We start from the raw sequence: 12627 nt of genomic DNA, 5'->3' as shown, positions 1-12627 counted from the left end.
TGTAGATTTTCCAAATGTTGGCAGATTTTATATAACATCAAAAAGTCACATCGGTTACCATCATCATAAATCTCATTTTTAAAAAAAAGTCTTTAATTATTGGGAAGCCATCAAGTTCATGGAGTTTTTCACACTTCTAAATTTTGGTTGAAAGCTCAAATTTTACTATTAGCAACAAATACTTTCAGTTGTTATCCTGGAAATGACAGGGTCACATCATTGATAAAATGTCCACCAAATATGCAAGTCTGAATAATCAGTATGTTTGTTTATTAGTATTGTTCTTTTAAGTAAGAATGATATTCCTTGGGGGAAAAAAAGCTGCTAGTTCAGCTCACAACTCAAATAATGGCATAGGTGTCTTTCCTAAAACAACCATCATGCTTCAATATGAATCGGGAGTACTTCATTTGTACTTCACTTGCCACACAGACTATAAAAAAAGATGAGTAATCAAAAGTTAATATTTCACTTTGGGAGGCCGAGGCGGGTGGATCACGAGGTCAGGAGATCGAGACCACGGTGAAACCCCGTCTCTACTAAAAATACAAAAATAAGCCGGGCGTGGTGGTGGGCGCCTGTAGTCCCAGCTACTCGGGAGGCTGAGGCAGGAGAATGGCGTGAACCCGGGAGGCGGAGCTTGCAGTGAGCCGAGATCAAGCCACTGCACTCCAGCCTGGGCGACAGAACGAGACTCCGTCTCAAAAAAAAAAAAAAAAAAAAAAAAAAGTTAAGATTTAATATAATTAATAATTGTATTGCTTTACCAAGGATGTTCTTAAGTGAAACTAGGAGGTTATTCGTGTCTTGACTTTTTTTGTCTTTTGGGGTTTAGGGTGTCTGTGTGTATGTGTGTGTGTTTACTCTAAGCGTGTGGTGTTTAAGAATGCAATGACTTCTAGTAGAATTCAGTGTTACCACCTTGATTAGTGCTAAGGAGCCAGCAGTTTTGTCTACACCACTTTCGCATCATCAGCGCAAGTGCCACACAGTAAAAAGGGGAAATAACTTCTCAGTCCTTTTTTGAAAATAGTTTTGATCTCATGGACCCCCTGAAAATGTCTCAGAGACTCCCAGGAATCTGTGAAGCAATAGAAACCACTATAGAAAGTAGTCATTAATGTGAATAAATTTATAAGACTAAAAAGACATGTGTTCAGTGTTACCAGTGGTTATCTCTGGGTAATGGAATTATGCATGGTTTCTATATTTTCAGGCTTATCTGAATGTTATTAATTTTTTTGTAGTAATAATTATTTTAATAATAAGAAAATATGTGGTTATTTCCTGAAAATTACTGTTCACATTTCTGACCCTGGTTGAAAAATGCTCCTCTTCCTGCTGACTCTACTTCACCTCCTCATCTTCCTCTCCCGAAATCCCCCCACCAAGTGACTCACTGCTTCCCATATGGAAAGCTCGCTCAGGGTTTTTGAAGAGTTCCAGCAAGATATGCACACTTAACAGTAAATGGAGAAATGACCTCTATAGCAAAGGGTAGGTCGAAGCTCACAGAACAATTTGTATTCCCCCCAAAATATCTTCGCATAATAAAGGGGGCATTAGTCACTTTCACAAGCTTATCTGGTTAGCTAATATTTGAAAGAGCAAAATTACAGAATAATAAAAGATGAATTTAGCAACCTTTTTGAGCTGCACTGTTTAATACAGTTCCACTTAGCCACGTGTGGCTGCTGAGTTGAGTACCTGAAACGGGGCTAGTGCAACTGAGAAATTGAATGTTTAATTTTATTAATTTTAATGAGTTTAAAACTAAAAATTGCTACTCATTTCAATTATTAGAAAATTTTTAAGTATGTTTATATATCTACTTTTTCAACCATAAATTTTATGACATCTGAATACAAATCAAGTATTTCCAATGAAAACTTAGCATCCAAATGGAGAGATGTTGTAAACATAAATTATAAATTTCATACAGTAAGATTAAAAGTAAAGTATTTCACTTCTAATTTTTTATATTGATTATATATTAAAATGATAATATTTGAGACATTGATTAAACAAAATACAGCATTAAAATTAATTTTACCTGTTTGTCTTAACTTCTTAAATGTAGCAAGTAGAAAATTTTAATTACATATGTGATTCACAGTGTATTTCTGTTGGACAATGTTGCCTTCAAGTTTTATGTGGTAGAATTAGACCAAAAATAATTTTGTTTGCTATACTGCATATTTTCTACTTTTGACTGTTACTATAGATCTACTTAAAATTCTTCTAAATCTTAACTGGAAATAGTATTCTTCTTCTTCTCAAAGATCGTTTCTCATAAGTACTGTAACCCCTTAGCAACCTAACAAGGTATTTGTAGTGTGTGAAAAGATTAAATACTTATGACAAGTATGTACTTATGAGAGCTACCATTATGTTATTGCAATACAGCTGCAACTATGTCTCTTTAAATCTAGAAAGTTCTGTCTTTCTTTTAAAACCCAGGCTGGTGGAAAGTGGCTCCAGACATTGAGTACTTTTGTCTTAAAGCTAACAGTACTTTTATTTTCTATTTGCCATTATGACTTGGACCACTTTGTCTTGGCTCTGTGGCAAAGGATTGGACAATTCAAATTTTCCAGAGGTCCCTTTTCTTAATTCTTAACAAAGCCATAGCAAATGCTTCTGTCTCTTACTTACAGCCATGGTTTTTGCCTTTCAATGAGAAAGTAAAACTGAGAATAGTTTCCAGAGCTTTCAGAACTTTTTCCATTGAAATGCAAACACCCCCCTGGCGCCTCTGAAAATTCTGAGAAATTGCTGGGTTTTGGCGATGTTTCCAGAAAACCTGGCTTTCTTCTGTTCATGGCTGGTTTAAGTTCTTCCCTTTCCAAGTACGTTCGACTGAAGTCAGTGGTTGACTGTCTCTTGCAGGGCAAACTCCCAACTCGAACGCTAAACAAAGAGTAACTTTTTCATTCCAAATTTGGAATTGTTACCAGTAAACCTCTGAACCCTACCTTTGTTACATCTCCTCTCCAAATGTGATTTAGTTTCTCGACATGTACCCTTCTCCTTAACCCTGTCCATGACTTACCACAGCCCTGTAGGAAGCTTACATAATGACAAGGTACACACAAAAATCAGTGTGTATTGTAAAGATAATGGCAGACATTGTCTTGGATTCTCTAATGTAGCCATCCTAACTGGTCTAAAAATTATCCATCCGCATTTTAAAATATTTTATGCAACCCATGCTCTCTAACCCAAAGCATCAGTGTAACATATAATAAAGCCACCAATCTTTTCTATCTTCATTTCCTCAATAGGATAAGTAATCTGAATGGGTAAACTAAGAAAGCAATTGCCAAGTGTTCAATTAACACATCACCAGATTCTGATCTTAGAATCAGCTCAGATATGTCTTCCTTACTTATTGTCTATAATACATAACCTTGATACTGTAGTGCCACCATACACTGGTAACCTGAAAGATGATGCATTCCCCACTGTTTCACATGAGCTCATCTTTTGGGGAGGAATCGTGTCTGGTTTTACTTTCGTTGTTCATAAATTAAACTCAGTGAATATTTATTTAATAACTATGTGACCTAAGAAAAAACTTATCTCATGGCTCCCAGCAAATTCATGCTCAGACAGAAAAGAAGCTCTATCTCATCTGGAGTGGAGCTAACAGTGGCTAACACATGTGGAAGAAGAGCAAGTGAAAACTAAGAAGGAATAAACTGTCCTCTATTACTTGCTCTGCAAATCTGGTAAATCATCTGCAATCTCCATACCCACAAAATATCATATATTCAAATATCATAATACACCCCAAATAAAAATTCTTATCAAAAATTAAGTATAAAATTCAAGTTAAAAACACAACTGTCAGCTGGGCACAATGGCTCATGCCTGTAATCCTAGAACTTTGGGAGGACAAGGCGGGCAGAGCACCTGAGGTCAGGAGTTCGAGACCAGCCTGGCCAACATGGTGAAACCCCCATCTCTACTAAAAATATGAAAATTAGTCGGCGTGGTGGCACATACCTGTAATCCCAGCTACTTGAGAGGCTGAGGCAGGAGAATCGCTTGAACCCGGGAGATGGAGATTGCAGTGAGCCAGGATCGTGCCACTGTATTCCAGCCTGGGCAACAGGGTGAGACACCATCTCAAAAAAAAAAACAAAACAAAAAAAAACTGTCTAATTTAGTAATAAACTTCTCTAAGACTCTGTTTCATCTTCTGAGAAGTAGAGTCTTACTATTATTTCAGTGATTCTACAAATCAGTCATGGGCCTTTACTTACTGAAGTCTTAAGTAAAGCTTTGCAAGCCTATGACCCAAAATAAAGTCAAAATATCAGTACTCATCTTTAACAATAAAATTTACATATACAGGTAATTGTGATTTTCTCAAAAAGGAAAACATTTTAAAAACCAGGTGGCAGAAGAGACTGAAATACAAAACAACTTTTAGCCATGAGACTATAACTACAATTCACATCTAGACACTAAGAGGGCTCAGGCACAGTACTGGCCATGCAGTATATGCTCAAGACATTTTTCTCAAGTTATGTAAATATATTCTAGAGCACTCCCTGAGAACCAAAGTAGCAGTTCTGCAAAACTGCTGATCAGCCAGCACATCTTCTGGATGTTATGAGAACAAGAAGAAAATGGCATCACCCATGTGAGCCATATTGACCTTGACCTTGTGACCAGGAAAGGCACTGTCTTGGACCTCTCCTCTCAGCCATATATCCCACCAGCTCTCCATTCCACTCCATGGCTGTCCAAGATGTATTTTTCTGAACATATTTTATACACTTTTGCAGGCTCCAGGAGATGAGATTTTTTGGGAGGGGCTCAAACTTGAGGCTGTAACTAAAGTTCTAGTATTAATAGCAAGGTTCCTAAATAGGATTTTAAATAGCAATAAATTTAACAATTGAAAGTACTTTAAAACTGTAATTCACAAGGCAAAATTTGTTGATTGGAAACTCTCATTAGCAAAATAGATTTCTCTTTTATTATGGACACATAAGATTTCTCTTTTATTATGGACACAAATGCACACACACACATACACACACACACACAGTCTTTCCATATTAAGCTAATAATACAAACATGAGGACTGGGGAGATGTGTGGACGTTATCAATTATGAATGTTTATATTCTAAGAAATGCAATGAACTTACTATTTATCACTAGAAGAAAAAAATGCATTTTTCTTACAGTTGAGGGATTGCTGAGGGAAGTATAACATATTAGTTAGAAAATAATTTAAACTGGAAAATAAGATTTTGAGTAGGTGACATACATATGCAGAAAATGGAGATTCTTTAAAAGCAATTTGCTCAATCCTTAGAACTTTCCAAGTGACCAAATTTACAAAGGAATCAGTACAATCACTTTACTGGGGAAAAGAATACTGGAAAGAGAATCTTCTCAGTTGAATCATAAATTCACTCAATTTTTACTACTCTGCCGCCTGTCTCCTATTTAGAATGCCATTCTGGGATTCTAATGTATGGCACAGAAAAGTACTGAGGACCACAGGATCCAGGGTGGCAGAGGCAGGGAGACATAGGGAGAGAGCTAGGCTTAGCAACACACTGCTTTAAATTAGCTCTTCTGTTACGTAGTAAACATCGAGATGTGTCAGTATGCAAAGAAACAAAATGAAAAATTGCTTTCAAAGGCCTCAGAATCGTCCTTGCTTTGAGGCATTGGAAAAAAGTTGATTTCAATAATTGAAAGAGAGTTTTGCAGTGCATGAACAATCAGCTCCCCAGAAGGTCCTGTCTACACAGCTCACTGACTTCCACGATGTCCGAGTTAAGATTGTTCTATACCCACAAACTAGCCAAGAAGACTAAAATCTGTGTCTCCTTTTCCAGGTTCCATTAAACATGTGAAATGTAAAAGTTAGTAATTGAAATGCCAGTTAAGATCTGGAAATGATTGCTTCCCAGATATGGCCATATTACCAAATGAAAAATTAGCCCAGTCTGGGTTGAAGTTTTTTCACTTGATAAAGGAAACCCTGTCACAGACACCCATACTTTTCCACCACAGCACAGGTAGACAAATCATTTTGTTTAAAAATCTATTTTTTCAATTCTAAATAATGGAATTAAGTTCTCATTTATTTTTCTACCAGTGGAAGCCCAACTCAAAACAAAATTTTAAAATACTAAGTTTGATTTCACATCCCTAAAATCAGGAAGGGATGACCTTATTTATAACCCTGCTTCCAAACAAGGCCACGTGGAAAATATTCCACAACAGCCAAAATAATTCAATCAATTGTAATGACCTTTCAAGATGATCAGATCACTACATTTTATCTCAGTCATTCATTCTGGAATTGTCAAATCTTTTTGTTTGTTTCATTTTTAAAAATTTGTTTACCTTAAATGACAAATAAAAATTGTATATATTTATAGCATACAACATGATGTTTTGATATATTTATGTATTGTAGATTGGCAAAATTCAGCTATTTAACAAAGCCCTATCTCAAATACTTATCTTTTTTTGTAAAAAGAACACTTAAAATCTACTTTCTTAGCAATTGGCCATTTCCATGTCTTCTTTGGAGAAATATCTACTCAGATCCTTTGCCCATTTGTAAATCAGGTTATTTGATTTCCTGTTATTGAGTCATTTGATTTCCTTATATATTTTGGATATTGACCACTTATCAGATGTATGGTTTGCAAATATTTTCTCTCATTCCATAGGTTGTCTCTTCATTCTATTGATTATTTCCTTGCTTGGGCAGAAGCTTTTTAGTTTGACATAATCCCATTTCTTTATTTTTGCTTTTGTTGTCTGTGCCTTTCGGGTCATATCCAAAAAAATCACTGTCCAGATCAACATCATAGGGTTTTCCCTTATATTTTCTTCCATAGTTTTACATTTTCGGGTCATACATTTAAGTCTTTAATCCATTTTGAGTTGATTTTTGTGTATGTTGTGAGATGAGGGTCCATTTTTATTCTTCCACATGTGGATATCCAGTTTTTCCAGCACTGTTTGTTGAAGAGACTGTCCTTTTCTCATTAGGTAAGGAAAGTCTCATCTCTGGGCTGGGCAGGAGGCATGAGATCATAAGAGAATATGGGGAGTATTATCACCCCCCTCTCCTCCCCTGGATATTACAATCCATATTGCAGGGGGGTGGGCACCCCCCTGCAATATGTGGAGTAATATCACCCCCATATCGTGGATATTATGATCCACATCGCAGTGGGGTGGACATTCCCCGCGATATGGGGAGTAATATCATCCCCATCTTGCCCCCTGGATATTGCAATCCACATCGCAGGGGGGTGGGCACCCCCCACGATATGGGGAGTAATATCACCCCCCTCTCTTCCCTTGGATATTACGATCCACGGTGGACCGACAGCTTGTTTATGATATTGTGAGTAATACCATCTTCCCTTCTTGAAATTATGAACTATTTCCAGACAAGTGTACACCCTCTGCAGTATTGGCAGTAATATCGTCCTCTCCCCACCCTTGATATTAAGAACAATATCACAGGAGTGTTTTTACTCTCTGCGATATTAGGTGTCATATCATCCTCTCCCACCTTGAAATTAGGAACAATATCACTGGGTGCGTGTACACATTCTGTGATATTGAAAGTAATATCATCCTCTTCTATCGTGGATCATGGGAACAATATCACTAGGGGGTGTACACTTTCTGCGATATTGGGAGTAATATCATCCCCTCTGTCTTTGAATATTAAGGACAATCTCACAGGGGGTTGTACATTCCCTGAGAAATTGAGAATAATATTATCTTCTCCCCCCACCCCCCCGCTTATTAAAAAAAATCACAGAGTGGCTGTACACCTCCTGCGATATGGGGAGTAATATCATCTTCTCCCCTTCTGGATATTAGGAACAATATCACACGGGGGTGTACACTTTCTGCGATGTTGGGAATAATATCAACCTCCCGGCCTTTGAATATTAAGAGCAGTATCACAGGGTGGATGTACACCCCCTGCGATATTGGGAGTAATATCAGCCTCTCTCCTCCATGGACATTAGGAACAACATCCCAGGGTGGGTGTACATCTGTGCTATGAGGGGAGTAATATCATCCTCTCCCTTCCTGGATATTAGGAACAATATCACAGGGTGGGTGTACACATCCTGCGATACTTTAAGTATTATCATCCTCTCCCCCTCCGGATGCTAGGAACAGTATCACAGAAGAGGTGTACACTCCCTGCGATATTGGCAGTGATATCATTCTCTTCTTTTGTGAATATTAGGAGCAATATCACCGGGTGGCTGGACACCCCCTGCTCTATTTGGAGTAATTTCATACTCTGACCCGTGGATATTAGAATCAGTATCACAGGGCGGGTGTACACCTACTGCGATATTGAAACTAATATCATGCTCTCCTGCCCTGACTATTAGGAACAAAATCACAGTTGGGTGTAGACCCCGTGCGGTATTAGAAATGATAATAGTGATAATGTCATTAGTAATCACTAATTATTATTATTAATTATTGATAGCAACTAATACTGATTTCTAACATAATGGTATTATTAATTATTAATACTAATACTAGTTATTAATCAATATAAATTGCTAATGTTTTATTTACTATGGCTCTTATTGATGTTATTAACATTAATTTCATTGTAAGCACTTTAATTACTAATAGTAATGATTGATATTAATTAGCATCATTTTATTAATATTAATAATTGATATTAATTATTAATATTAATATTATTGTTCCTGATATCTGGGGGAGACGATGCTATAACTCCCAATGTCGCGGAAAGCTTACACCACCTGTATTGTTCTTAATAGCCAGCGGGTAGAGGATGACATTACTCAAAATATCACAGTGGGTGCACATCCCTTCTGTGATATTGTTCCTGATATCCGGGGGGGAGAGGATGATATCACTCCCAATATTGCAGGGGGCGTAGACCCCTCCTGTGATATTGTCTCTAATATCCAAAGGTGGAGAGGATGACATTTGCCCCAAATTCGCAGGAGGTGTACACCACCCCTGTGATATTGTTCCTAATATCCAGGGGGCAAGAGGATGATACTAGTCTCAGTATCACAGGAGGTGTACACTCCTTAGTGATATTGTTCCTAATATCCAGGGACGGAGAGGATGATATTACTCCCAATACACCAGGGGGTGTACACCCCTTCTGTGACATTGTTCCTAATAGCCAGCGGTGGAGAGGAAGATATTACTCCCAATACCGCAGGGGTATACACGCCACTCCACCCCCGTTATATTGTTCTGAATATCCAGAGTAGGAGAGAATGATATTACTCCCAATATCTCAGGGGGTGTACATCTTCCTGTGATATTGTTTCTTATATTCGGGGGGAAAAGATGGCATTACTCCTAATATCGCAGGGGTTGTACACACCTCCTGTGATATTATTCCTGATGTCCAGAAGGGGAGAGCATAATATTACCCTCAATATCGCAGGGGTTGTCCACCTTCCCTGTGATATTGTTCTTAATATCCATGATGGGAGAGGATGATATTCCTCCCAATATCGCAAGAAGTGTACAGCATCCTGTGATATAGTTCCTAATATCTAGGTGGGGAGAGGATGATATTACTGCCAATATTGCACAAGTGGTAAAACCCTTTCGAAGTTTTTCCTACAATTCGGGGGGAGAGGATGATATTACTCCCAACATGGAAGAAGGTGTACACCCCCTCCCCACCCCGTGAAATTGTTCCCAATATCCATGTTGGCAGACGATGATATTACGCCCAATATCGCAGGGGATGTACACCCACCTTGGGATATTGTTCCTAATATCGAGAGAGGGAGAGGATGATATTACTCCCAATATTGCAGGGGCTGTACACCCACCCAGTGATATTGTTCTTAATGTCCAGAAGGGAAGGGATATTATTACTCTAGATATTGTTCCTAATATCCAGGGGAAGAGAAATGATATGACTCACAATATGGCAGAGGTTGTACACCCCCTCCATAATATTGTTCCAAATATCCCGGGGAGATTAGAATGATATTACTCCCAATATCACAGGGGGTGTACACGACCCCTTTGATATTGTTTCTAATATCCAGGGAGGGAGAGGATATTACTCCCAATATCGCAAGGGGTGTACATCCCCCCCACCAACATTGTTCCTCATATTTAGTTGGGGAGAGGATGATAATGCTCTCAATATCTCAGAGGGTGTACACCCTTTCTTGGGATATTGTTTTGTAATATCAAGTGGGGGAGAGAATGATGTTACTACCAATATCGCAGGGGGTGTACACCCCCCTGTTATTCGGTTTTGAATATCCAGGTTGCGTGAGGATAATATTACTGCCAGTATCGCAGGGGTTGTACACCCCACCTATGATATTATTCCTAATATCCAGAAGAAGAGAGAATGATACTACTCCCAATAGCGCAGGAGGTGTACACACCCCTGTGATGTTGTTCCCAATATCCAGTGGGGGAAAGGATGATATTGCTGGCCACATCGCGGGGGGTGTAGACCACCTCTGTGATACTGTTTTTAATATCCAGGGGGAAGAGGATGACATTACTTCCAGTATCGCAGTGCGTGTACACCAACTATGTGGTATTGTTCTTAAAATCCACGGAGGGAGAGGATGTAATTACTGTCAATATCGCAAGGGGTGGACACCCTTTCTTTGATATTGTTCCTAAATTCAAGGGGGAGAGCGTGATATTAATCCCAATATCGCTGTATACACCCCTTTTTGATGTTGTTCCTAATATCCGGTGGGGGGGGCGAAGTCTCTATTACTGGCAATATCACAGGGTGTGTACACCACCCCTGTTATATTGTTTCTTATTTCCAGCAATGAAGAAATTAATATTACTCCCAAAATGGAATGGGCTGTACACCTCCCATGAGATATTGTTCCTAGTATCCAGGGGGGAAAGGATGATATTACTCCCAACGTTGCAGCGGGTGTGTAATCTGCCTGTGGTATTGTTCCTAATATCTAGGGGGAGTGAGGACGCTATTACACCCATTATCGCAGACGGTGTACACCGCCCTTGTGATACTGTTCTCAACATCCATGGGGGCAGAAAATAATGTTACTCCCAATATCGCAGGTTGTGTACACCCCCCCACCGTGATATTATTTCTGATATCCAGGTGAGGGGAGGATTATGTTACTCTCAATATCGCAAGTGCTGTACACACCTTTGATATTTTTCCTACTATTTACGGGGAGAGAGGATATTACTCCCAGTATCGAAGGAAGTGTACACGCCCCCTGTGACACCGCTCCTAATATCCAGGTTAAAAGAGGATGATATTACTCCCAATATCGCAGGGGGTGGGGTGTACCCTCCACCTGTGATATTCTTTCTAATATCGAGGGGAAGAGAGAATAATGTTACTCCCAATAGCGCAGGGGGTGTACACACCTTGTGAAATTGTTCCTAATATCCAGGGAAGGAGCCGATGATATTACTGGCCTGATCGCAGGGGGTGTACACCCTTCTGTGATATTGTTCCTAATATTCAGTGGAGAAGATGATAACATTAATTCTAATATCACAGAAGGTGTACAGCCCCCCTGTGATATAGTTCCTAACGTACAGGGACAAGAGAATAATATTACTCCCAATATCGCAGGGGCTGTACACCCCTTCTGTGATACGGTTCCTGCCATCCAGGGGGGTTGTGGATGATATTACTCCCAATAACGTAGGAAGTGTACAGCCACCCTGTGATTTTCTCCGTAATAACCACATAGGGAGAGGTGACGTTACTCCCAATATTGCAAGGGGTGTACACCACACCCGTGATATTGTTTCTTATATCCAGGAGGGAAGAAATTAGTATTACTACCAATATTGAAGGCATGGACACTCACCATGTGATACAGTTTTCAATATCCAGGTTGAAAGAAGATGCTATTACTCCCAATACAACAAGGGGTGTACACCCTGCCTGTGATATTGTTTCTTATATCCAGGAGTGGAGAAGATACTGTTACTCCGAATATTGAAGGGATGTACACCCCCATGTAATATTGTTCTCAATATCCAGGTTGAAAGAAGATGCTATTACTCCCAATATAACAAGGGATGTACACCCCGCTTGTGATATTATTGGTAAAATCTAGAAGAGGCGAGAACGATATTACTTCTAATAGAGCAAGGGGTGTACACCCCCCCCCGTGATATTGTACCTAATATCTACAAGAAGAGATGATGATATTATTCCCAATACCCCAGAAGGTGTACTTCCCCCTGTGATATTGTTCCTAAAAACTAGTGAGGGAGCGCATGATATTACTTCTGCTATGGCAATGGCTGTGCACCCCTGTGATATTGCTCATAATTTCCGGGGGGTACAGTAGGATGTTACTCCCAGTATAGCAATGAGTGTACACCCACCTTGTGGAAAATATGTCTCCCAATATTCAGGGAATCACAGGATGATATTACTCGAAATATCGCAAAAAGTGTACAGTCCTTTTGTGATATTGTTCCTAATATCCGGAGGGGGAGAGGATGACATTACTTTCAACATTGCAGGCTGTGTACACACACCCTGTGAAATTGTTCCTAATATCCAGGATGGGAGAGATGATATTACTCCCCATATAGAAGGAGGGTGAACACCC

The 12627-nt window shown here is 39.2% G+C and overlaps 1 long non-coding RNA gene across 1 annotated transcript in view; it reads right to left on the bottom strand.

Moving 5' to 3' along the window:
- AQP4-AS1 (AQP4 antisense RNA 1) overlaps positions 1-12627 on the bottom strand; it is a 70639-nt gene that overhangs the window by 38946 nt on the left and 19066 nt on the right. The window contains exon 2 of the long non-coding RNA NR_026908.1: positions 4009-4130. This is a non-coding gene — a long non-coding RNA (AQP4 antisense RNA 1). The remainder of the gene's footprint in view (positions 1-4008; positions 4131-12627) is intronic.

The sequence above is a fragment of the Homo sapiens genome, chromosome 18 (assembly GCF_000001405.40).
Source record: "Homo sapiens chromosome 18, GRCh38.p14 Primary Assembly".
In the NCBI taxonomy this organism is placed as follows: Eukaryota; Metazoa; Chordata; class Mammalia; order Primates; family Hominidae; genus Homo; species Homo sapiens.
This window is presented reverse-complemented; position numbering and strand designations above follow the sequence as displayed.